A 27,123-nucleotide genomic window follows, 5' to 3' on the forward strand; every position below is an offset into this window, starting at 1 on the left:
CATGAGCACCTATAATGGGTGCCCTGGACACATGATTCCTAATTTCCCTCCTGGAGAGGGATGACCCTTCCTCTATTGTTGCTGTTCCTTTCACAACTCAGTGTGGGGCAAAGGGAGATGGGAATGGAGGATGGCTATGTCAGGAGAACAAGCAGGAGCCTGTTGCCTCCAGGCACAAGGATGATTAGCTGCTAGGGACAGAGCAGGAGGGTCCTGGAAAAGAAATGATTAGGCCATTCAAATATAGGCCTAATTTACCATACATTCTTAAAAACACACCAGGATGCAAACACTTCAGACTGTGAGCCTCAAAAAGCAAAGATAAGGCAATTCAACAACAACAAAAACCTAATTCGAAAATGGACAAATAAACTGAAAAGACATTTCTCCAAAGAAGGTATATAAACATCCAATAAATAGGTGTATAAAAACGTGCTCAGTATCATTAGTCATTAGGGAAAGGCAAATCAAAACTACAATGTGAAGCCACTTCACACCCATTAGAAGGGAATGTAAAATGGTGAAAGCTATTGTGAAAACCAGTATGGCAGTTCCTCATAAAACTAAACATAAGAATTGTCTAGCAATTCCATTTTTAGGTGTATGCCCAAAGTATCTGAAAATAGAAACTAGAACAGATATTTGTATACCATATTGATAGCAGCATTATTCACAACGGCCAAAAGGTAGAAAAAACTCAAATGTCCATTGGTAGATGAATAAATAAACAAACTGTGTCAAATTTTGGACTAAGATTGCAGAATCCCACTTACATAAGATACCTAGAATAGTTAAATTCATAGACAGAAAGCAGAATATTGGTTATCAGGGACCAGGGCAGAGAGATAGCTGGAGAGTTATTGTTCAATGGGGATTAGAGTTTCAGTTCCGAATGATGAAAAAGTTCCATAAATGAATAATGGTGATGGTTACACAACAATGTGAATGTACTTAATGCCACTGAATGGCACATCTGAAAATGGATAATATGGTAAATTTTATGTGACATGTATTGTGCCACAGTAAAAAATTAAAGAAGGCAAGAATAAGGAGACTTTTTTATTGCAGTTGGTGTTTGCTTGCTAAGTGGAGAGAGAGACCTACAGGAGGCTGGGAAAAAAAGAAGGGCCACAACCTCTATGCCATGCCTGGCTCTTCCCACGTAAGCCCTGGGGAGCCAGAAAAGCCTCACAGCTTACTACTTTCTAGGGGCTGCGTGGGGCAGAAGAGAAATGGTCCTGACATTAATCTAGCATCCCTGCCTCATGTCTTTAGTTGCCAACCTCCTTTTTCCTGAGATGGGTGACTTGCAAGAGCCCAGAAAATACGTGAGACAATCGATGACCATTGCCCATTGCCAGAAATTCTGATGTGAAGTGTGAGGCATGACCCTTTAGGGATTGTTCTGTCTCACCCTCCCATGATTAACAGGCACAGAAGTTAGACACTTGCATAGGCAGAGGTCTCCGTCTCTGTCCCCGCCCCCAGGCCAACCGGGAGTAAGGTCAAGAGTGATAGCGATGTTAATCAAAAATGGTAGACCTCCTCTCCATCCCCCTCACTAAGGTTCAGTCCAAGATTCAAGTGCCCCAGGGTGTTTTGACGAAGGATCTCCCAGCCTCGGTGACTGCTGCTCTGGGACGCGGTCCGGGACAGGGAGGAAGTTGGAAGAGCCAAAGAGGCTCTGGCTAGAGTCCCACTCTCAGCCCCAGAGGGCTGTTTCTCAGATGGATGCTCCTGGTCATCCTCCTTGTCTGAGTTCTTGAACACTTCCACATAGCGAAGCACTCGCAGAGGATTCTGATCATTGTGGTTCTCAACCCTGATAAGGGGAAAGGGGAAAGGACTCAATCCAGGTGGGGAGACATGGGCAGGGGAGAAGTAGAGGTGACCATTTAGAAAGCAGGGTCAAGAGGGAAGCAGAAATAAGGCAGCAGAGTTGAAACAGGAAGAGTATCTGGGATCAAGTGAAGGGAGGTGATGGAGGGCAGGCTAACCTGGGATAGAGATAATGGAGGCTGAGCAATCAGGGCTTGCAGGGTGGTAGGACGCACACAGGTGTGTGTGTGTTTGTGTGTTACTAATACGTAGGAATGTGAAAGAGAAAACAGAGCCAACTAATAGATAAGCGTGTCACAAGGATGACGAGATGCAATTCAGGAAGTAAATTTGAGGAGAGAGGAGAGTCACGCCGGGAGATGAGGGCAGAATATGAAGGAGGAAGTTAGATCCAAGCCAAAAGTACACTGGAGATGAAGGTCAGCTCAGAACAAGGTTACAGCAAGTCTGGTAACCCATGCTGACGTCTGAGCATGGACACATGCACACAACCTTTTACACGTGGCTGCCCTGAGGTACACACAGCATTCTTCGTACCCCTCCACTTCAGCTCCAGCCCCCTCCCCTAGACAGGCTAATGTAGGCTCCAGGACGCCTGTCGGTCACCCTTGCTTCCGTGGCCTTATACACATCTGCAGTTTTGCATGTGCACACCATCACTCACCGCAGGAACCAGCGGTCCCCCAGCCCGAATTCGCACCCACAGATCCCGGAGCGAGGCCACAGGCAGCGAGGCAGCTTCCGCTCCAGCATCACTGTGGTGGCCACGACCTGGAAGGAGGCAGGAGATACAGGAAGAACTCTGAAAGAGCCATGAGGTTCAAAGAGGCACTGAGGCCACTGATAAAGGGAACCAAAGGCAATCTGTGAGATAGGACACTAGAGGTCAGTGGTGAGAACAGCCACCTATTCACCCCACAGCCTGTGCCAGGCACCATGCAACCAGCTTCACTCATCAAGAAATGAGAGAGGATTTTTTGTGAGTGTTTTGAATAAAATAGTTGCCCTTACATTACTATTCACTCATGGAGAATGAGTCACTCCAAACTAATCTCAACTTCTTTTTCATATAAAAGCCACAGACCAATTATCTCGATTTAAATAAAATGATTAAAGAGAATCTCTACGATCTTGGGGATGAATTGATACTGTTACTGTTCAGGGAATTTTCAGCAAATTAAATATCCACATCTTAGGAAGGAAAAGGGTTGATTAATGACTGCAAGTTGGCAGGGAAATTTCTGGTAGCAAGTCCACCACACGTTCTGTCCTTTGCTCAGCCCTCATTAATTACTTAGATGAAACATGGGAAACAAGCTTATCAAATATGCCTGTGACACAAAACTGGGAGGGATATGTAATATGTGGGGCAACAGAAGCAATATAAAATTATCTCGCTAGATTGGAATGCTGGTGTAAAATCATTAACAAGAAATTTAAGTAAACCAAATCTAAGGTCCTATATTTACATTTAGGAAGCTTAGATAAGTGAGTCATAGAACAAAGGTGTGGGAGTGCTAGCTGATCACAAGCTTAATAAGGGCCATTTGTATATTTGCTAAAAGACCTGACTCAGCTTTAGGTACCCTTAGCATTATGTCCAAGTAAGGAAAGGCATAGTCCCGCTTTGTACCGCATTGCCCTAATCATACTGGGGACTATTCTAGTTTCAAAGAAACCATGATCTATTAGAGCATGGACAAAAGGGTGCAATCAGAATAGATCAGAACCAGGAAGGCTTCCTAATTGAAGGAGTGCAATCTTCAAAATAGCAAATTCTTCACCTCATGTTTTTCTACTCCCTATCTTCCTCATTACTCCACACTTCTTTCAGTTTCTTAATTGCACCAAGTTCCCTCCTAGCTCAGGACTTCCAGTCATTCTGTGCTCTTACCCTGGATAGCTGTTCTTCTTTGCCTTGAAAGAAATGTTTATTGTTCCTCCTGAGCCATCATGCAGCCCCGTCCTTCCTCGGGTAACAGCACCCATTTTTCATTTAGGGAATTGCTCCCTCATCACTTTTAGTGCATTGGTTTGAGTGGACTGGGCTTCACACAGTTGTGCTTAATTAATCTATTTTCCCCCAAACCTCCCCTCCACCACCATCACCAACACCTCCACTATCTAGTCCTTGGTCTTTCCTTAGATTCAACGATGTGCCTATGACCCGAATGTGTTCCCATGAGATGGAACATGGAAGGAATTGGCAGGGGGAAAGATGTTCTTTTAAAGCCTGCAGTTTTGCCTGGCACCAGGAGCCTCACAGAATACAACGTGAGTGGGGCCCTCGGAGCTGCGTGTTGCATTGCACATCCTCATTCTTTTTGGAGTTTGGAGCTTCTAGAAATGATCTCACAAACACGATGGGAGAGCTTGCCTTAGAAGAGAGGTCAAAAGAGAGCCGAACAGAGGAATGGATGTAATGTATAAGATGTGGATCTGCATTCTGGCCAGATACCTCTAAAGTTAGTTTAATTCTCTAAACTTCCCATTTATGAGGACTAACACATCCTCTTCCCCCTGTTTAAAAATCTGCAAGTCTGTTTGAGTTTGGTTTTCTGTCCCTGTAGCCAAGAGTCCTAATTGCTACTAACCTTGACCTTCATCCTTTTCCCTCCTTCCTTTTAACTACCTAGTTCTTGCTCACCTTTGGGTTCTCATCTTAAATGTTGCTCCCTCAGGAAAGCATGTCTTCACTTCCCAGTCCGATTCCTCTGTTGTATCCTCCTCTTAGCACCTTACATTCTCTATAGCACTTTTGCTGCTGTAATTTTACAGCTTTTTGTGAAGTCATTCACTTCATGCCCGTCTTTCCAACTAAACCGTCAGCTCCATGAGGGCACATATGGTGTCTGTTGTGTTTATGCTCATGTCCCTAGCTCCTAGGCATTTGTCAACACATAGCAGGGTCTAAATGATCATCATTAAATGAATGAAAAGTCTAAGGGAAAAATGATGGCTATATTCAAATATTTGAATGGTGCTTATATGGAAGAATGTGTTCTGTGATATATGAGAGGGAAAGACTGGCGCCAAAGAATGAAATTTTAAGAAGATAGGTTTTAGCTCAATGCGACATAAATGTCTAATAACAAAATCTTTAAAAATATGGGAAAACTCCCTTCCTCCCAACCTCTACCTGAATTTGCAAGATAATAAGGTACTAATCAGCATTAGAGAAGATATTGAATGACATTCTGACCAATAAATGATTATTATGTTAAGTAGGAGGTCAACTTGAGGGCCATTGAGGGTCACTTCTAATTCTAATATTTATCAGTCTATGGTGATATAAAGAAAAGATCATAGAGAAACAGGGATTTACAGAAGCAAATAGAAGATAAGATCCAAATTGAAAACTGGAATATACCAGAACAAGGTCACTTCTAGTTCCCACTGGACTCAAGGATCAATCCTAGGTCTACTTTTCCCCTGTGAGCAACAACCCCACCTCTTGCCACTATCGTCCATTTAATCCTCCTTCTGTCCCTTCCATTTATCCACATGTACCTCAGGTTTACACAAACCTCTTCTGAGGTGACAGCCTCACTGGGTTTTTCTGTGACTCTTTTAAGAATGATCCACCATAACATTTTCCACTTTGATTTTTCTCTCCAACCCCTGCTTCTTAGCAAGACTAACACAAATAAACTCACCTGGGCCCTCCAGAGCTCATCCCTCTCCTGGGCCACCCTCCAGTGGGTGTCGCCCATCATGGCGATGAACAAGTTGAGCATGAGCAGTGTGGCAATGATGGTGAAGGCGAAGTTGACAATGCTGAACATGAAGGGCAAGTCCACGTCGTAGTTGGCAGGTGCATCAATAACAGTGAGAAAAAGCTCAAAGGTGGTGAACAGTGCCATGGGGTAGTCATAGAATTGCCCCAGACTGGTTGGGTCCTCTGTCTGGAAAATGATATAGAACGCTGCTCCGCCCAGGAAGAGGACATGGAGATGGGATAATGGAGTTATCACAATAAGCATGGACATGGTTAGCACTTATTCTATCTCTGATCTATCTATCTATCTATCTATCTATCTATCTATCTATCTATCTAAATACACTTGCACACATGCACAGATAATTACATACTAATAAATGTAGTTTCCTGTGGAACTGTCTAACCCTAAGATGTCCTATGATTAAGTTCACCACTCTGGGTAATGGTCATGGTAATAGTCATTTAACAACAACAAAATTGTGTGTGCAGCGTGTGTGTTTGTATGGATAATGGATAATAGGTCACCTAACTGGTTTTTGCATTTTAGAAAACCAAATACTTAAAAGGCAAGTTATTACAAGAATGTATGGAATCCTCAACAATTTTTAAAGAACAGAACACATGAACAGGCTAAAAGAAGAGCCCCTTTTTTAATCTTGATGGCCTCTAGATAACCCTCCATCACTCTGACCTTCCCTGAGTGAACCTGAACCAACATAGGAAACGGATTCCTGCTTAGGGTGGAGCCTACTGGATAGCAGTGAGCGTAAGGGAACTTCAGGACAGCGCTGGACTGCTTGAAAGCCTCCTCACTGCATAGGGAGCTGAAGCACATTCTGAGAGCAGAAACAGGGTCTATGACAAAGCATTGCCTCCTTATTTATTTAAGAGAAAAGCAAGTGCAATGGCCAAGAAGTGAACATTTAGAGAGTTCTGGATAGAGGACATCTACAGAAAGCCACTCTGGGACCATCACCTCATTTTGTAATCTGTGTTATGTATAGATGTAGATGGCCAGGGAGTGGGAGGAAAGGGTACATAAGGGCTTGGGGTGGAAAACTCCAAACAGGCAGAACGCCATGGTTTTACTCTTTCACATTTCAGATTTTGGTGGGGGTTTTGTTGTTGTTGTTTTGTTTTGTTTGTTTTTTGTTTTGGTCTGTTGTTTTGTGGGAATCCCCATTGAACGGGAAATCCCTGAGGACAGTAATAGAGTCCTCTGCACTGAGTCATTGCTTTTTAGAGATGGGGGGATCCTTCTAGTGCCTCTTCTTGTCTAATAGATGGTCAGTTGCAGACACTGAGGACTGAATTTGAGCTACTGGCCTTTTGCTTTTCAGACCTGGGCCTTCCTCTTTCTGCCCCTCCCTAAGGACTTTCTTCTGCTCCTCCACCCACCCTCTCCTTCCCTCTGGCTGTTTCCACCTGCCTGTGTTTTCCTGCTGTGCCGTTCCTTTCTTTTGCTCCCTGGCACTTTCACTGGCTGTGCCTTGACTGGGTGCCTGTGTGTTCCTGTTCTCCCAGTCTCTCTTCACAACTCTTCTTTTTTGTTTTCTCTGTCATCTTCAAACTGTCCAAGCTGTTTTTCTGCACCTCCTTTTTCTAATTCTTTCATATTTTTCTCAGCTTTAAATGACCACATATAGAAAAAAAGCAAGTTATATGTTGTTGAGTGCTTTAGGTTTCCTCTTCTGAATTGTAAACATAGGAGAGTTAAGCATGGCACTATCTCTGTTTGTCCACATGGTTTTCTGAGATCCATGACTGGCCAGTCTTTCCTGTTTAATGCCCTGTTCTCACCAAAAGTCTTTTCCTGTCTCTCCTTTAAAGATCTTGCAAGGCAGTTAGTGAACATAAATCTTATTGGCCCTGAACACATGGCTTTACGTTCCAGGCCAACCTGAGTGGCCCCTGGTCCTATAAATATGGGTGTGCTTTTAGACTTACCTTCCAACAGGAAAAAACAAAACAAAAAACAAACAAAAAAAAAGAAAGCAAAATGAAGTGCAAATGAGAACTGAGAGCAAGAATGAGAGTGAACTTTCTGGAGAACTAGATCTGCTGATCTAGTAGAGGAGTGTATGGTGCCTTACCGGAGGCAAATCCCAAGATGACCACAGCCATCAGCCAGCAGAAACGCATTAGGTCTCCAAAAATCATCTGCAGGAAACAGAAGGAAGAAAGGGTGGGATGATTCCTTTTCCACTGCTTTTGAGCAGCTAACGCTAACAGATCAAGAGGCCCCCATAGTTCTACCAGCTCCATTCTACCTCCATCCCTCTGTCTGTGAAGGTCTTGTGCCTGAGGCGGAGGAAGCTTCGGGAAAGCACTGACCTTCTGGATCATGATGGTGAAGGGACCCAGCATCTGGAATCCTCGAGTGAAATACATGACACTGCACCAGCCCAGCACCAGGGCAAAGGACATGGGCACCACCTCCCCATTGGTGTTGGTGAGCCGCATCACCATGGTCACCAGCACCAGGGAGGCATAGGTGATGCTGGGGGAGCAGAAAGCAGAGAGTGAGAGACAAGCTGGAACTATTTTAGGTCCCTACAGCATAGTGGTGACCGGGGTGGTATCCACACACTCAGGCTTAGTCTTTACACCTAAAACGCACATACAGTTACACCTACAAGTCCACTGGAGAGAAGTCCTTGGAGTGAGAGTGACCTGAGGCCTAGAACTCAGAGAGTGAGCTGGAGACAGGAAAAGATTCTGGTAAGGAAAGGCAGGGGGCTGGAATGAGGGGATACTCACATGATGACATGGAATGGCCCCCCAAGAATCGTCTTTCCAAAATAGCGAGAGGCACCAACCCTGAAGATGTCTGGAATCTGGGGAGAGGACGGCAAAGCAAAAATACAATGTGGACTGCGGTACAGTCTGGGCCTTAGATGGGATGGGATTAGCCTGGACCCCGCCTGCCCCTCACCTCTAGGAGCAGGATGATCACAGCCCCAACGATGCTCACCAGCTCCCCCACCAGCCTGATGATATCTTCACGTGTCTCATAGGCCTCCTATGTGGGGAAATTCAGAAGAAGTGCTTTCTGATGGGCAGAGTCAAATCCTTTTGTGCAAATGATCGAAAGCTGCTAAAGCCCATCCAAAATAAAGGAAACTCCCCTTCCCACCAGCATCACCCCACCCCCATTGTACTTGCCATTGTGGGTAACTCTGTGACCAGGACAGGAGTCTATGTATCCAAGGTTTAATAGACGTCACATATGCTAATGTCTTGAGCTACCATCTAGCAAAATCGCCTTTTCTATAGATGCTGTAAGCAGAAATTTATGATGTATATACTGAGCAGCTGAGAACACATTTCAGCGCATCAAGTGAGCTAACAGGAAGAGGTATTAGTGGCTTGGGATGGTTTCAGCTATGTGGAAAGTCCACCTTTTCCAACCTCATCATGGCTTCTAGTGGGAAGAATACACTGTAAACATATCACAGAATTCAGGTTCCCTCACGGATCCGGAATCTACTACCTCTAGTGAGACCTTGAACCATTCATGGAAAATCTCTGAACTTGAGTTTTCTCATCTGTAAAATGGAGGCTACAGTGCTTACCTCCCAGAGTCATTGTGAAGCTTACATTAATGATATATTTACATGAACTTTATAAATCATAAATCACTATAGATATATTCACTGTGGTTTTATGATGATTTGACATTACAGAAAAGAGCAGAGAAGGGGCTAGAGACACTATGAGGAAGGGTCCCTGCCTATCCTGAGCAGTAGTTGTAGAAGGTATAGTCCAAGGGTCAAGGTGGAATGAAGACCACCCTACTTCAATGCATGTTACTTCACGGTGAAACTTATGCAATATCACAGATGTAGTGCTAGAATCCTACATTAATTATCCTTATGTTTTTGAAGTTATGAGCTCACTTGAAAACATAATAAAAACTGTATATCTTCTTTCTACAAAACTGTGTTCCCATGTAGACAATTCCCACATGATATTGCACAAATAATTTCAACACATGCAAGCAGCCTTTTGACTTTTGGGAGCTCTGTTGTCCAAGGTCACATCTCCAAATAGTGCACCCAAGAAAGGAGTTGAGAGTCCCCTGGGGCCAGCAGGAAAGCTGATGATTTGAGCCAGGGAGAATGTGGTCCCTAGTTAGCATAAGGAACGGCAATTATCCCTGCTCTGCTAATCAGCTGGAACCTGTAAGCATCTCTCCAGACTCTACTGCAGCAGCACACTCACCTGCCCGGTGAGAGGCAGTGCTTTTAACACAGGGAACCAAGAGAGACTAGGAGAGAAGCTTCTGTCTGTGTGTCTGGAGAACTCTGTGGTCTAACAACCTGTGACCAGACATCAGTCAACACTTTTTTTTTTCTTTTTTGGCTTAAAAAATGGTATGCTCTGTAAACTTTTCTGACATTTATCTCTTGAGAAACTGGTAAATTTTATTTTATCATATAATAGCAAATTTCTTTTTTTACTTGCTTCCAAAGAATTTCAGAGTTTTTGTTTTGTTTTGTTCTATTTTTTTGTGTGTCTGGTTTTTTTTTGTGCGTTTTTTTTGTTTTGTTTTGTTTTGTTTTTTTGTCCTCAGCTCTAGCAGCTATCTTTGAATTCCTTCTCTTCTCTCCTGAAATTCAGTTCACGGACTGTGTTCTTTTTCTTTATCTTAATGTTTCTATAGCATCTGTCTTTTATTGTAAAACATGCCAACTCCTTCACAGAGTCAGGTAGTGAGTAGGAGGATAAATAACAAATACATTACTTCAGAAACAAAATAACATTAAATATAGAAATAACTGCATCTATGCCATATATGTGTCTATAAAAATATTTTTATTTTAAAAATGTCGTGTCTTGATTTAATATGTCTGAAAAGATGCTACCAATCTTTTCTTGGCTCAAGAAGAAAAGGACTACACATAAGTTGGCGAGGATGGCTGTGAAGATCAGGGTGCCCCTAGAATCCAGCCAGGGAGTCACAGCAGCCATTCCTTCAGGAGATGAAAATGTGAAACCCCTCTAATGCTGGGGACAGTTTTGGTCACCAAATTCTCCTGCTGGGGCTTCCTCTCACCAGTTCAACAGATTTCTTTACAAGTACGCATTACTCTGCACAAATTCACTAATGAGTAATGGAGGTGTTCAGAAACCCCAATTTTTTGCCTCTGCACTGCCTGGGATCTGACTGACCTAGAGTAGCTGCCTCCAGCACTCTGTCCCCGGGGTCCTTACCCTTAAACCAGGCTGCAAAGTGCCACAGACTCCTGAGAGCCCCCTTCCTTGCTGCTCTACAAGACCAGAATACAAACCCTTCTGTAGGGTTTTGTTTGCTTTGTTTTATAAACTAATCTCTCTGGAAAACAAAAACAATATATGTATGTAAAAGTTGCAATAGAAGTAATGATAATATTGGGCTTTTAAAGCACTTTGATTTTCTTTAGACTTTCTGGGGAACTCCAGTGTTTCACACTGATATAAAATGTTAGCTCTTGCTTTAGAATAGATACTCTTTGCAAAGGTAAGGAAGATTTCAGTATTTCAGAAATGGAAAGGGGCATTAAATTGAAGTGCTAATAGGCTTCCCTTTTAATTAACCACCCTTGCACCCCTAGAATTAAACCCTAAGCCCAAACTGTAATGGATGTTTCTTTTAATTTTAAAAATTTTATTCTTTGGGAATTGCATTCAAGATTTTTTTTTCTAGATTGAGATGCTGATTCACAACTCTCTAGATTTAGGGTCCTTATGAAAATATTGTTGCCTGGTTATGTTTGGCAAAGTAAATTATCAGGGCACCCATTCTCCAGCCTTACTCATTCAGTTCCCAATTCTCTCTGACATGTTTTCCTTTCCCTTGGTTAACAGAACTTATGCCTTAGGGCAAACCCATGCCATCTACCATCTAGTTTACCCTACATCTATTTCCGCTCATTCAACCCACCCCGCACAATGCTTCTGAATTGACCTTTCTAAAACACAGATATCATCCTGAGACTTATCTGTTTAACATCATTCCTAGCTCCCCAATGCCTTCAGAATAGAAATGCAGGAGAGGTGGCAGTGGAGAGTGTTCTTTAATCTTTATCGTCACAGAAATTCACTAGATAATGTCTAAATTTGATTAGCAAGTAGAGATAGAAGGATTTGATTCCAGGGATGTGGAGGTGATGACAGGAAGGAAGAGCTAAAAGAAAGAAAAACTGGTTGTCCCCTGTGAGTAAGACATGGGTGAGAAAGAGGGGCTGTCCAGGACGCAGTTGCTCTCTATCAGATCTGCCACTTGATTTGTAAGTCATGAGCACGATGTACGTCATTTTCTTTTAATTAGGAAAGCTCACTGTGAGATAAGAATTTAAAAAATAAAACCAGAGTACCAAACGGGATGTACAAAACCCTCCCTGCTATGGCCCCTGCCTTGTGTCCTCATACCCTGTGTGAGCTCTGGCCACATTGAGCTATTGGGGTTCTGGGTTGCTAAGTTGGGTCTCTGCACAGGCTATGCCACTTTGTCAGAATGCCTTCCTCCACCATGTTGACCTGGCTCACCCTCACCGATGCCTCAAGACTCAGGTCAGGCCAACACTCCTCCTGGGCCTCCTTTCCTGCCCCTCCATGCCCAGGTCATGTGTCTCTCCTGGGACATGTGGGGCTGCTGTGTATTGACAGCCCTCTCCCAGCACACTGAAAGTGTCTGGGTACCCCATGTCTCACCAGTAGTCTTAGAGCTTCCTGAGGGCAGGGATGCCTCCCTCCTACTTTTTATCCACAAATGCACACAATGTGGTAGGCACTCAGTTGGTAAGAAAGGAAAGAAGGAAGGAGAAAAAGGAGAGAGGAGACAGCAGGTGCAAGTTAAGCATTGCCTAAGAGACGCAGAAGGGTGGTAAGGAGGACAGGAAGCGGGGATGGAGAGACCTATCTGGAGGCCTAAGAGGAAAAGAATGACAACTAATCGTGCTTTTCTGAAATTTTCAGATTCCTAGATCAAGGTCACCTAAGCAGGCCTGGCTAACAACGCACAGAGAAGGTACTCCAATACATCCCTTTAAAAATAAATATCATCTAACAATGACTGGAATTTTTTACTCCACAACATGGCTTGCAATTTAATGAGCTTTCAACAACCAAATCCCCTATGCAGGCTGGCATTTATACGTCACTGAGAATTGGCCTAATGAGATTTGCTCTCACTTCCCAGCCAGCTGAGTTCATTGCCTGGAAGGAAATGCCCAGAAGGAGTGGGCAAAGCAGTGCCTGGGGCACTACTGGGTCGTAAGGGCCAGGGATGTACTATGTGGAAAGGATGGGGAACATAGGCCACCACAGTGGGAAGTGGGTAGGCCCCAGAACCAGTTGTCCAGCCCAGCTCTAGACCTTTTTCCCCCCCATGATCCCAGACTTGCAAAGGAATGAAGTTTTCAGAGAAAGCTCTGCTAGCTCTTACAAAGAGCTTCTCCGATTCCCTAACTGGGCATGAGTTCCTAACCAAGACTGCCCATCAGAATCAAGTGTTAAGTCTTTGTCACAACACACATGTCCAGGCCAACCCTGGGTTAATTTGGATCAAGAACCTGGCATTTACTTGAAAAGTTCTGTAGGCGTTTTGGACGTGTATCCCAAGTTGAGAACCGCTGGGCCATAAAGAGAGAGAGAGAGATCTGGTTCCCATGTAAGTCAAGCTGCCTTCCAAAGGTTAATTTCATGTCCCAGTCTCTGCATTTTCTCAGGGGTATTGGCTTGGGAGATTACCCCTTTCTTCTGAAGAGTCTCCACCCATTCCCACAGAATTATGACTTGCCCTATATGCCAGTAGGTTAACCCCATCAAAAAACAGTGCCAATTATCAAAACTGGAGAGGAGTATCTGGGGGTATGAATCAGTATCTGGGGGTATGAATCTTTCTATATCTGATCCTCTCCCACAGCACTTCTCAAGCGCCTCTCCTCTTGACAGGGAAAGATGAGATGTGTAGATACACGTGAGTGTGGCAAGCCCTGGCTAGCCAATAGAGAAGACTGGGACCTAGCACATCACTCTGGAGGGAGAAATGGCCTTGTCTGGTGTTTAAAGGTGAGGATTCTGAAGGGAGGCAGACTTGCAGCCCAATCCTAGTGCTGTCCTTGCTAGCTCAGTGTCTTTGCCAAATTATTCAACCTCTCTTGACATCAGATTCACCATCTTTAAAGTGGTGATGATTGCATTTATTTGTTAGGATTTCTACAAAGATTAAATGAAAGAATAATGCTTTGTCACTCAAAACGCGGTGCACAGAATCACAACATTGGCCTCACCTGGCAGCTTGCTGGAAATGCCAAGTCTCAGGTCCCACCCAGCCTTACTGTCAGAATCCACAGTTTAATAAGGCCTCAAAAACACTGATGAATGCATGTGTTCATGATCAGTGCTCAGTGGATGTTATTTTTACCTACCGGGCTCCCTGGTTCTCCTCATCTCTTTCCCTGTCTATAATGTGCTGTGCTTGTTCCACCATGAGTTGGTTAGGACCCCTCAACAAAGTTGTATAGAGTTGGCAATCAGTTGCTTTTCAAATAGCAGTGGTGCTTTGGATTGTTCAGAACTTACGAGGGATGATGATGTGTGGACAAATAGATCCCACGGACTGTGATAGGTAGAAGATGATTTTTAAAAGATGGAAACACAGTAGGGATGATTTTGCCTTCAATAAGTCTCCTGATGCCAATCCCTTCCCTCTATCTCCCCACTACATTCCTAGGCCAATCCACCATTTTTTTAAATTTATTTATTTTGAGACGGAGTCTCATACTGTCGCCTGGCCTGGAGTGCAATGGCGTGATCTCGGCTCACTGCAACCTCTGACTCCCACGTTCAAGCGATTCTCCTCTCTCAGCCTCCCGAATAGCTGGGATTACAGGTGCTCACCACCATGCCTGGCTAATTTTTTGTATTTTTAGGAGAGATGGGGTTTCACTATGTTGGCCAGGCTGGTCTCAAACTCCTGACCTCGTGATCCGCCGCCTCAGCCTCCCAAAGTGCTGGGATTACAAGCCTGAGCCACCGTGCCCAGCCAACATTATCTTTTGCTTGCTAAACTGTAATAGCCTCCTGACTGGTCTCCCAATGTCCTTCCTACCACCCCCCACATCTGTTACTCACCATGCAAGCAGAGTAATTTTTCTAAAACAAAAATTACTCTGTACATCCCCCTGTTTAAAATCCTTCTGACTTCCCATCCCCCTGGGGATAAAGCGTAAAACCCTTTAAGACTATATAATTTGAGAAGGATCTGTCTGGACAACCTCACCTGGAGGTACCCAACCCAACTCTCTGTGCTCTAGTGAATCTTCTTTCAGTTCCTAGACTTTGGTGAGGTTATTCCTGCCTTGAGGCGTTTGAATATGCATTCTTTCTGTCTAGAACTCTCTTTTCACGTTGAATTCATACCTAGATCTCAGCTCAGTCATCTTTCTCAGAAGCAGGCTCTGGCCTCCCAGAGGGACCAGGCCCCTGTTATAAGTTTTTTCCCCACTCTGTGCTTTTCTCATCATAAGAAAAAAATAATATTGATGCCAACAGTCACAGATTATAATGAAGTATCTATTTGTATGATCGTTTGATTAATACAAACCAGTCTGTAGACTCCAAGAAAGCAGACATCATGTGTGTTTTGCTCAGACCATGGCTGTTGAATTTCCAACACCTGGAACAGCTGTTTAGCCTATATGAGGCTCTCAATAATAATTTATTTAATGAATGGATTAGCAAAATATTTCTGGGAAAGAGAAAATCAAAGGAGGGCTCAAGAGAATCTTTTTCAAAAGTCAAAAAGGAGATGTGACGAGAAATTTGAACTCCCTGCTGAACAGTAATCCGGGAATCTAAATGACCAGAGTGGTGGGCCTAAGACTGGAAAGGCAGAGCTGCACTTACCTCAAAGATGGAAGCCACGGGTTCTCAACCTTGGCAGAACATTTGGCTCACTCAAAGAGTTTCTTAAAAATACCAAGGCCAGAGCCTCAGCTTCAGACATTCCAACTTATTAGGTCTACTAAAGTGTAGCCTAGGAGCTAGTCATTTTACTAGCTTCCTAGGTTTCTAGTGTACAGTCTGGGTTAAAAATCACAGATCTGGCAGGAAGTAGGATTTTCCTAAGGTCAAACAAGTATTAAATTTCAGAGTTAGGGCTAAAACCCGAGCTGCTGGACTCCAGGACTTTGAGCTTTTTACTCACCTGGAAACCTAAGAGAACTAGTACTATAGTGCATGCTGCTCTGCCTAAACCAAGTAGAAATATATGGAGATAAGAAGTTAACTCAAATTAATAGAGTTCTGGGAAATCTCTAGTAAAGCAGAACTTTTATGGCTGAGCAATGAGGTGTCTTAGAGTCATTAAGATAGCCCCCAAATTGGATAGAAATAAACTAACTCCAGCTTTACAAACATCAGCTTTTGTGTAGTTTTTTGCTACCTTATACAGAGGAATTTGTTTTCTCTCATCTGTTCTGAGATGGTGCTGTTGCACTACTCTTATAAAATGCCAGATATTAAACTAGAAAGGATCTTAGGGGTGATGGAGCCCAGTGATTTCCACAGATCCCAAGAGATCTGCAGAGGAAGTCCTGAAGTGACTGAGATCCCTGTGATCCCAGAGTTATTAATATAATTGGACAGTAAAGTATTCATTCATCTAAGAAAAAGCTCCACCAGCTAACTAATATGTCAACAATTGCATGAGTCAAATCAAGACACTGTATTTGTGCGTTTTCATTTTTTCTAAGACTTTCAAGTAAGAAAACAGTAGGAAAAAAAAGGAATTTCCTATTATTTAAAAAATCTGGTGCACTGTGAAAACAGAATCTTTCAAATCATGATGATAAGTTTAGGAGCCCCTGATCTAATCCAAATGGGCTTACTACTGAATAAGAAGAACATAGTCATCCCATAAATCAGGGCCAGGGCTCAAAGCATAGGGACTTTTCATTAGCGTTCTTTGTTATCTAACCCCTTCCAGCAGCATTCTCAATCCTCTTACCCACCCACTTCTCCACCAAGAAAAGAATATCTGAAAGTCCAAAGTCTTCTCTTTGAGCTGAAGTGGCTTTCACTGAAGCAGAAGGCAGAAAGGGTAAAAATGCCAAGGAACAAGAAGGAAGGCAGAAGAGAGAAAGAAAGAAGGATGGGTCAGGTGTTCAGCTATAATTATGCTTCTGAGTCCTGAAGCAAAGGAGGCGGTCTTTTACATACAGACTATCTGGATCAAAGAAATGTGATTGTACATAACTAGCCCTGTCCCAAAGAGAAAGAGACACACAGGAAGGAGAGTTTTGGTTATCAGTGGCTCAGCATTGCCCACCTTTTAACCCAGAGTCCTGTCTACCTTCAAAATGCAGAAAATCTCCAAGTAAATTTGAGACAAAGGAAGGTTGGAGAAGACATATCTGAGGAAATAGGGCCAGGAGCATTGGAAAAGTCCAGTCATCCCCACCTTGTTTGTGTTTTCTCAATTTCTAATCACTCCTCCCTCCACTTGCCATCTCCTAACTGTCCTTATTTTCCTCATGTCTCCATGCCAGGGACAACTTTTGCGGCCAGACTGAGATGCATGCAGCACAACTGCTTCCAGTGTCTCTAACACATTCAGGCTTGTCCTCCCCAGGCAGCAAGACCTACTTGGTGAGAGGCAGTGTATCTGGACACATGACACACTGTATATATATACATATATATATATATACATATACATGTATATATATACATATATATATATATACATATACATGTATATATATACATATATATATACACACATATACATGTATATATATACATATATATATATATAGACATATACATGTATATATATACATATATATATATATATACATATACATGTATATATATAAAGGCAATTCTAAAAACAGGAGAGATGGAGTGTCTCTACCTAGCATAGGGTTCATTTGGGCTCTTTGCCCTGTTCTTTCTCTGTGCATATCGCTGTCTTTGGTCTAAACAAATTCAGGATTTTTGCTTCTTGGCTATAGAAAGTTTATATTCTCTTTCCGACTGAAACTACCCTGCTTCCTAGTCCAGGCTGAGCTATACCTATGGCTGCTCTCTCCTGCATTGAGATAAATCTCCAATCACTCAGTTCTCACTTGCTTTGCAAAATTCTTTTTCCTGGTCTTTTGCTTTCTGCTACATACCTACATCACCTTCTGTGTATTTTCAGCTCACCAGGACAAAAATTTTAGTAATCCACAAAGAGTCAACCCCTCAAATATAGCTACAGTTGTTAAATATATATATTCAGAAGTGCTCATTAGAGTCTACCCTTTCTGTTGCACAAAAAGGAGGTTTACTTTCTTCAACAGCAGATTTCTATATTTACTGTGTACCTCGAATCAGTCCTCTTCCTAACCCTAGTTTTCCCTTGGCCACCACAACACAGAATGGCAGGCCCACAACACTAAATGGAGCCTCAGAGAGTATTTACTTCAGCCTGATACCCAATCCAGACATCCTTCTGCAGAGTGTCTGACAGGCAGTCAGACAGCTGACACATTATTCCCATGGGCCCATATAGACAGCACACAGAAGAGGGTGCAGGCCAGCAGGGCTGTCTGTGTTGCCCAAATACAACAAAAATGGACTCAGAAATGGACTTGGAGCACAATTTTCCTCCTTTTGAGCAATAGAGTTTACCTTGAACATCCCACTAAAAAACCCTGATACTTTTTGTAAATTACCAAAAAATTTCACAAAAGCACAGGCTTACTCATGCCAAGCACTCTTTCAAAGTTTGTGTGAGAAAATCCACAGCTCCCTGGACAAATGCTCTTGTGCTCATTAAACCCCATCTGTGGCCTCCTGGTCTCATGTCTAATTTCTACCTGGGTGTTTAGGAGCCTACACCTGCTGGAACCCAGAGCGTGGCATCGTCCCTGAGTAGCATGGCTTCGTTTCCAGCACCATCACCCCTTGATGCAATTCTCTCTCATCCCCTTCTGAGGAGAATCACCTGTAGTAGTTTTTGCTGGAGGATGGTGATGTCTCGAGAATGAGTGCGGTTGCCACCACGAAACTTAAGGGGGCGGTAGACGCAGCACGTAGTAAAGCAGATCATGTAGAGCAGGTACAAGGCAGCCAGGATGCAGAAGTACGGCCGGCCATACTTGTTCCACTTGAAGCTCACCAGCTCCTTCACTGGGGTCTGTTCCAGAATTTGGCGAGCCTGGCATGGAAGTAGAGTGAAACTTGGGGTGACCAACACAGAAGGATGTTGTTTATCCCACTGGGGGCCAGAAGAGGCAGGGCAGCAACCATCACTCACTCAGCTCATCAGTCACTTATTTGACGGACAAATAGTATATTTCCTGCATATGGCTGGGCCTTGTGCTAGTGATACAGGTAAATGACTATAGCAGTAAACACAAGGCACCATAGCACCAAAGAGGATTTAAAGGATGAGTAGTAGTTAGATGAGTAAAGGGAGAGTTAGGAAAGATCATACCATAAGCTAACAGCAGTTGCCAGGTCAGGAAGGTCTGAGAAGCCATTGCCCATTTGCAGTTGAGATGTGGTTGGGGAGAGGGGAGAATCTATTGGGAGTGGTAGTCAGAAATGATAATGACTGAGGAAGAACAGGGCCAGGTCATCATGCATCATAAATGCCAAGGTAGGAAGTTTGCATTTTTTGTTTTTTCTAAATATAACAGAAAGCAACTGGGGAGTTCAAGCAGGGAAGTGGTCAGATTTGCTCTAGAAGTATTATTGGGCTGGAAAGAAGCAATGGAGGTTACAGGCAGTAGGATGTGGCAGGGTGGGATGGTGCTCTGAAATAAGCAGCCAGTGAGACGTTAAAGATACACAGGAGAGGGGATGATGGACGGGAGGAGGCATCTGAGAAATTAGAAAGAGACAGATTCAAAGCACAGTAGAGTGATTAGCCATTAACAGCATGAATATCTTTTCTACTGAAGCTGGAGGGGAGGAGAGAGACAGTGGGCAGTTTCCAGACATGCTCGGCAGTGTAGGGCAGGAAGCTGAAGGATCCCCAGCCAGAAAGCCTCTATTTTTGTCCTAAATCAGGAGTCTAGGTCTTCTGAACTGCAGCTGAAGGTAGTGAAGGATGTGAAAGGGGGCTAGAAAGGAAGATTTATGGAGGAAAAAAGCAACTGACCCAAGACACTTATGAAACCTGCTGGAGAATATTGAGAATAGCTTAAATCAAAGACCAAGGATATGTGGTGGCGAAATCCACACAGTGGGATTGTGCTTTTAATACCTAAGAAATCCTGCTCAAAGTGTATCTGTTTCCAGGGATATTCTCTGAGGAAGATCTCACAAACTAGCCACTCAACTTTTCTTCTATTCGTTAGTATTAATAATCATTCATGTTTTCTGGATCTATAAGGATTCCTGGGAAATTGTCACTGTGGCAGATACAAAACAGAAACTACATCTTGGCACTCTCATGGAACGTTCTGAAACCTGGAAGTCTTTTCTCCTCTCTACTGCAGTCTTCAACAAATTTTCGTTTCCCTCACATCACTCAACCCAGCATTGTTGAATGGTCTATACGTTGCTCCCTCTCTAAAAAGCTCTTTTTTTTCTCTCATCTTCCTGTGACTCCCAATTCTTCCTTGAAGATCCAGCCCCAGCATTTCCTCTGTGACATCTTCTCTGGTCTATCCAAGCCAAGTTAACTCTACCTCAATGTGGCTGTCTGCATGCATGGTACACACAACTATTACGGCATATGTCATGCTCTGTTGCAATTATTCAGGACAGGGACTGAGAATTGAGGAAGTTGATGAACAGGAACTGTGTTGTATTTATTTCTGTACTGTTTGTTTCTTGTGCAGTGCCTGACATACAGCGGGTGTTCAATATGCTTGTATTAGTCCATTCTCATATTACTATAAAGAACTACCTGGCACAGGGTAATTTATAAATAAAAAGGTTTAATTGGCTCATGGTTCTGCAGGCTGTACAGGTTCTGGAGAGGCCTGAGGAAACGTACAATCATGGCAAAAGGCCAAGAAGAAAGCAGGCACATCCTACATGGCCGGAGCAGGAGGAAGAGAGAGCAGGAGGAAGAGAGAGCAGGGGGAGGTGCCACACACTTTTAAACAACCGGATCTTGTGAAAACTCACTATCACGAGAACATCAAGAGGGAAGTCTGTCCCCATGATCCAATCACCTCCCACCAGGCCCCTTCTCCAACACTGTGGATTACAATTTGACATGAAATTTTTGCATTTGGACACAAATGCAAACCATATCAATGCTGAACCAATGAATGAATATGAGGAAACAGCTCTTATTTGGAGTTTCTCATCTGAAATGATAGAAGGCGAAAGGTAGGCAGAAGGGACTGGAGCTAAGCAGAGAGACAGGGGATTCAGGAGAGGAGTGTGCATTGGACTTTCCCCCATGTCCCAGGAGACTATTCTCATCTCCACCTATTATAAGGCTGGGAAGTGTCTCAGGCCCAGGATCTTAGTAAGTGGACAGACTCTGCACAAACACTAAATTCCCTCACATGACAGGCCTGATCCTCCTTGGCATCCATACCTCTCGTTTATCAGAGGAGACCACAAGCTCCAGGAAGGACAGCTCCTCTCCCCAGGAGTCGATCTCCGTGAGGTCGTAGAGAATGGAGGTCAGGGGTCCATACGTCCACTGGATGTGCCTCCGCTTCTGCATCAGGTGCTGGAACATCTGAGAGACCACCAGGATGAGTCAGGGGGCCAACGTGTGAGAAGGTGGTCGAGGAGAACAACTCCATTGGATGGAGCCAGTTGCCCACCCCTTGAGACAGACAGACAGTGGGAACCAGCAAACCTCTGCATCTACAAGCTTTCCCTTTTTTGTCATCTTTCCTGCTCCAAAACCCCAGAAAGTGCAGAAAGAAGAAAATAGGCAAAGGAAGCTAGAGCTTTGGGTTATCACAGCACATGCATTAAGGTAAGGTTCTCAAATCCTCTTGAGTCAAGGACCATGAAGCTGAAGATTTCAGTGATGGAATAGGAAGCAAGGGACCACCATCCCTTTGGGGAGTTTGGGGAAAAGGGATTTTAGAGAAAGGTGGGCCCTTCACCTCTATTTCTCCCAGGGCCAGCAGGATAGGTTGAGGGTCATTAGAAAGACACCTCAGGGATGGGGAGCGTCTCTTACCACAGTGTTACCCTCCACTCCAGCCAGCTTGAAGGGGGTGAGACCCTGGTGATTGGGCACAAGGTCCAGGGGCTGCAGGTGGTCCCCATGTCCATCATAGGACAGCAGCAGGTTGTACATCTGGCAGGCAAAGGTTTTGTTGGGCTGGAGGATGAGGATGTGTAATACTGTGTTTCCTGGGGAGGACGCAGGGTATCATGTGGCCACTGGCCTAAAGTCCCTGATGTCCCCATCCCCACTCTGGGGTCTTCCTAAAGGTCCCAGCTCCACTCCTTACCCTGTCCCTCGCTCCCCACAGCATCCCAGCTCCCCTCCCCATCCCAGCTCTTACCCAGGGAGTCCTGGGCCCTGATGTCAGCTCCATGCTCAATGAGCAGCCGCACGATCTCCTCGCTGTTCACACAGGCAGCAAAGGACAAAGGGTGCTCCCCTGTGGACACAGAGAGATCCATGGCAGGAGAACGCAGGATGGCAGGATGGGGTGGGCAGTCTCCCCCAAATAAGGGCCTCCTCCTCATCCCCCATATCTCAGTTCTAGGCTGAGGGACACTCGTCCAGCAGAACCAGAGGAAGGAACCATCAGGGGAATGGGCCTCTGGCTTAATTAAGCCCTAGAAGGGCTGCCCCTCTCAACTGCCCAACAGATGGAGCTGAAGGCAGGACCCTCATGCCCTGGCCTCCCTCTGCCTTGCCCGCCTCTCCAGCCAACCATCCTTCAAGCCCAACCCTGCTCTCACCAAAGTAGATGAGGTTGCGGGGACTATGGCGGAAGGCAGTGCCTGTGGCTCTGGCAGAGACACTGGCCCTGCGGGTGAGCAGGGCACGCACCAGGTTCACATTCTGGTTCACAACAGCGATGTGCAGTGCAGTCTGACCTGGCCCAGAGACAGCCATCATCAGGGTCTCCCTCTGTCCCCAGTTCTCTCAGGGACACAGCATCCCCCACCATCCCTCTCAGGAGGTTCCTGATAGATCTTTGCTAGACTTCTGCCCTGGGCTTGGCAGGGTGGCCTGGGACTAAGAGCAATTCATCCCTCAGGCTGCCCTGCTCATTGACCTACCCTTCAGTTATTGGGAGCCAGCAGGGGATTGCTATGAATATAATCATTCTCATGTTGCTATGAGAGAAAGAAATTGAGATAGGTCCTACAGGGACTATGGGAGGTTTGAAAGGAAATGCTGAAGGAAGCCACAGATTGGTAAAAGCCAAGACCAGGACCTTTGCATTTCTCCCAACTCAACGGAGCCCATCCTCCTGACCCTCCATCACCCCACCCCAACCCATCCTTCAGAGGCCAATTTTAAGAGACAACAGCACACCCTCCATCTCAAAGTTTCCACCTTGAATTACCATGTAGGCTCCTTACCTGCAAAAGCCTCACATGTGGTGGGCTCAAAGACCAGCTCTGGGGCAGCCTCCATCAGCACCAAGGCCGCCTCCAAGTTGTCATAGAGGGCTGCTATGTGCAGCGCCGTCTCCCCCAGGGCTCCTGGATTGGAGTAAGACAGAGATGTTAGACACTTTTCAGATTCCCTTGAGGAAGGGGCCTCAGGCTCCAGAGACACCCTCCAAGGCCCTATTTCACAAACTCGAAGTCTTGGGGAGGAGGAGTAGGTTCTTCTGCCCCCACCTCCATCCCATTAAATCCAGATCCCACCTCTTTGTCGAACGTCACAGGTGCAGTCCAGTAGAAGTTGCCTAAGAACAGACAGGTCATTTTCCTTGGATGCTCGAAGCAGTGGAGACTCTAGAATCCTGGGGAAAGGTGAACGTGAGTTTGGAAGAGACAGTCATAGCAGAATGAGGCCAAGAGCAAAGGGGATCTAAGACATTCTTTAAGACCAACGTGACTCACACAGCGTGCAGTGACAAATTGGAAAGAAGTGCCTACTGGACTCGAATGACCGAGGGTGGACTTGGGCAAGGGTCAGCCCCAGGGCCTTCCTTGCAATTCACATCATGGTGATTCTCCTGTGAGGATGGCCCTTGAAGCTCTGCTGGAGGGGAAGAGTTAATAGGAAGAGAACCTGTAGTCTGGAAAGAGTGGTCTGAGAGTCTCTAAGAAGAGGACCCTAGGCTTGGCTGAATTCATCTAACCTGAGTAACTGTCTCAGATCCTGGATAGTTGGAGAGCGGGACAGAGGGCACTTCCATCTGCGGTCCCCCTGCTCCTGGGCCTGCTGAATCTACTGTCTTTAACCAAGGGGAGTTTGGGAGACCAAAACACAGAGGGAGGAGGAATGGATCGACTGCTAGATCTTTCCTAGGCATTTTGAAATTTGTGAAATTTGTGAGGCACTAAAGTTCTGACTACTCCCTCAGGCTATTTTTTTTTTTTTTTTTTTTTTTGAGACAGAGTCTTGCTCTGTTGCCTAGGCTGGAGTGCAGTGGTACAATCTCAGCTTACCGCAGCCTCTGCCTCCCAGGTTCAAGCAATTCTTGTGCCTCAGTCTCCCGAGTAGCTGGGATTACAGGCACGCACCACCACGCCCAGCTAATTTTTTGTATTTTTAGTAGAGATGGGGTTTTGCCATGTTGGCCAGGCTGATCTCGAACTCCTGAGCTCAGGCAATCCGCCTGCCTTGGCCTCCCAAAGTGCTGGGATTACATTGCGCCCAGCATCCTCAGGTTATTTAGATACAGGTCCCTGCAGGGGGTGGAGAGTTGTGGGGTGAGTTACAGGGTGCCTCTTTCTTCTGCATTATACCCTTAGATGCAAAGGTCTAAACAGCTTGTTTATGTGGGTGTCTCAAGGCAAAACAGGTTGAGATACTCATTCTACAGGACCTCTGTTAATCTTTGCTTCTACCATACCCAGATTTGAACCCAGAAAGAGATAAAGCTGGAGCCTCTCCAACTAGACATATGTGTATTGGCCCCAAAGGCAAGCACATGGTGTAGGGGGAAGAACAGAAAGGACAGGCCGATGAGTGGCTCCTCTGAGGTCCCCACCTCCAAATCCCTCTCTTCCAATAGCCCCAGGAGCCAGGGCGAAAAAGTGTTTTTATTTTATTTATTTATTTTTTTTGAGACGAAGTCTCACTCTATTGCCCAGACTGGAGTGCAGTGGTGCGATCTCGGCTCACTGCAACTTCCGCCTCCTGGGTTCAAGTGATTCTCCTGCCTCAGCCTCCCGAGTAGCTGGGACTACAGGTGCCCACCACCATGCCTGACTAGTTTTTTTATTTTTGGTAGAGACGGGGTTTCAGCATGTTGGCCAGGCTGCTCTCGAACTCCTGACCTCAGGTGATCCACCCATCTCGGCCTCCCAAAGTGCTGGGATTACAGGTGTGAGCCACCACGCCCAGCCAAAGTGTTTTCATTTAAAGAAGAAGCTTTTAATCTAAAGGTGGGGCCTGGTTTTACCTGTTAAGGCAGTGCTCCTAGGAGGGGCCTTTGTGAGGAGTCAGTTCCCTGCCCCGTCTCACCCAGGGAATCAGTCCCAGGGAGCCTGGTGTCCCTGACCAGCCTAGAGTGGTCAGGGCTGAGATTGCAAATTCACCCCCATCCTGAGGCCACTGCACAAACAAAGTCCTTGCCTCCCTGGCCCTCTATCCCCACTGCCCCTCTGCAGAGGGTCCAAGTTGGGGCTGGAAGCTCACTTTCTCAGAGACCCAGGGGTCCCACTCTAAAGCAGGAAGGTGAGATTCCACTGGAGGTATTGGGTGGGGAGATGAGGAAGCAGAGGGCTTGACAGTATGAGGGCTCAGAGGTACTTGGGACCAGGCCCAGTGTAAACTGCAAATGCAGGACCCCTTGTTCAAAATTATTAAGAACTTGAAGATGAGGACAGCAGGGCATTGAACAAAGCACAGGAATCTTCTGGAGTACAGGGGAGCCCTTTGTGACTGCTAATGTCTGCTCAACAACCTCACCCCTCAGGCAGCTGTTGGGTGGGAGGCAAGCCCCAAAACACTTGGAGGAAGAAGCAGCCCACAGGATTCGTCCCTGCCCCAGCTGCTCTTCCTGGGACTGGACCTCAGGGCTAAGCCATGAAATGATTTACCTGCAGGTGTGCTAGCCCTGCCCGAACTAAGAGCTCTCCAGGAGCAGGCACAAGTCTCATTCAATCTTTATGTCATTGGGATCTAACACCCCTCTGCACACAGTAGACTCAATAAAAGGCAGATGGACTGAACTCAGAGCCCTCCAGTGTCACCTGAGCTGCCCTCCTCCACTGGTCAGCACCCAGTGTTACACCAAACAAAGCGCTCCTCCCCTTTCCCACACAGTCCACTTTCATTCAAATGAATGGCGTTTCCTTATCGTGCTTCCACCACCCACAGGAGTGCATCCCTTCTTCAGCAGCCTGCTTCTGCCTTCCCTCCCCATCCCACACAACCTGGCTTCTTCCCTCTGGTCCTTTTTGGTCCTTTCACTCCCCCTTGGCTGTCATTCTGCCTCTGTCCTTAGGTCTACCCTCAAGATTTTCCTGTGTGGCCCAAAGCCACATCCTCCACCGCCACTAAAAGGGGCCAGCTGGGATTCTGTAATTAGGTGGGCTGGAAGGAAAGGGTATGTCTGAGTGACTGGCACTGACAATACACTTCTAGGGTGCTGTATTCGGAAAGCAGGCCCAGGTGGGTCAGAGGGTCTGAGGATCACGGCGGTAGGGCCACGGATCGTTCTAGGAAGCCTACCTCTTCTGCTGCAGCATATGAAGCTTGTCCAGGTGCTGGTCCCAGTCTTGTTCTCTGACCAGAAAGGAGGGCAGAAGTTTCTGGAGTTGGCTCCCGGGCCCTTCTGCCTTAGGTAGAAAACCCCCCATGTCTTCTCCTTGCAGACACTGGCAGATTATAGAAATGTGGCGAAAGAAACAGGTCTAGGATGACAGCAACTGAGCAAGAGATGGGGTCTATTTGGGGCTGGGACTCTGAGTTTATCTCCTGTATGACTTGTGTATGCAGCATGCAGCTTGTAGGTGTGTGTGTGTGCATGCAGTATGTGGGTTGTGGGGTGTGCGTGTATGCACAGTGTGTGGCTGTGGTGTATGTGTGTGCATGCAGTGTGTGGTTGTGAGGTGGTGTGTGTGCATGCAGGTGCGCTGAGGGGACTGACCGCCCTGCCTGGGGAGAAGTGCTTTTCCTGGAGGGGGAGGAGCTCTTTGCAGAGCTGAGCCCCACAGCCACAGAACCACCCTGGGGAAGAAAAGGAGGAGGGGAAGGAAGGTTCCTAACTGTGGGCTGGGATGGCTGAGACCCGAGAAGCTAAGAGGTGGGGCAGAGGAATTTGGAAAAAGAAAAGGGATGGAAGGTGGGTCCACAAACAAGGTGCACAGTTAGTTGCATGAGGGAGAGGAGGAAATAAAGACTTCCAGCTCAAGAGTCAGGCAGAGCCTGGTTCAAATCCTGACTCTTATCCCTTACAGTTAGGTGAGCTTTCTGAGCCTCAGTTCCTAACCTGTGAAATTGGGGTAAC

At 45.6% G+C, this 27,123-nt stretch overlaps 1 protein-coding gene across 1 annotated transcript; it reads right to left on the reverse strand.

Annotated features, from left to right (window-relative positions):
- Positions 1,115 to 26,760, reverse strand: TRPV5 (transient receptor potential cation channel subfamily V member 5). Its single transcript, NM_019841.7, has 15 exons — positions 26,346 to 26,760; positions 23,363 to 23,460; positions 23,072 to 23,194; positions 22,442 to 22,579; positions 22,036 to 22,134; positions 21,705 to 21,880; positions 21,102 to 21,248; positions 18,543 to 18,755; positions 8,496 to 8,582; positions 8,321 to 8,397; positions 7,895 to 8,060; positions 7,654 to 7,720; positions 5,496 to 5,764; positions 2,504 to 2,610; positions 1,115 to 1,822 (listed from the first exon to the last, which is right to left on the reverse strand). The coding sequence occupies exons 1-15, from the start codon at positions 26,471 to 26,473 to the stop codon at positions 1,528 to 1,530; spliced, it is 2,190 nt and encodes a 729-aa protein (NP_062815.3). The 5' UTR covers positions 26,474 to 26,760; the 3' UTR covers positions 1,115 to 1,527.

Source organism: Homo sapiens, chromosome 7 (genome assembly GCF_000001405.40).
Source record: "Homo sapiens chromosome 7, GRCh38.p14 Primary Assembly".
In the NCBI taxonomy this organism is placed as follows: Eukaryota; Metazoa; Chordata; class Mammalia; order Primates; family Hominidae; genus Homo; species Homo sapiens.

Coding starts and splice junctions, on each gene's coding strand:
- TRPV5 (NM_019841.7), bottom strand. CDS start 26,473: ATGGGGGGTTTTCTACCTAAGGCAGAAGGGCCCGGGAGCCAACTCCAG. Junction 21,881..22,035: donor CAGGGCCCAGGACTCCCTGG/GTAAGAGCTGGG, acceptor CGTCCTCCCCAG/GAAACACAGTATTACACATC. Junction 7,721..7,894: donor TCACCATCATGATCCAGAAG/GTCAGTGCTTTC, acceptor TGTTTCCTGCAG/ATGATTTTTGGAGACCTAAT.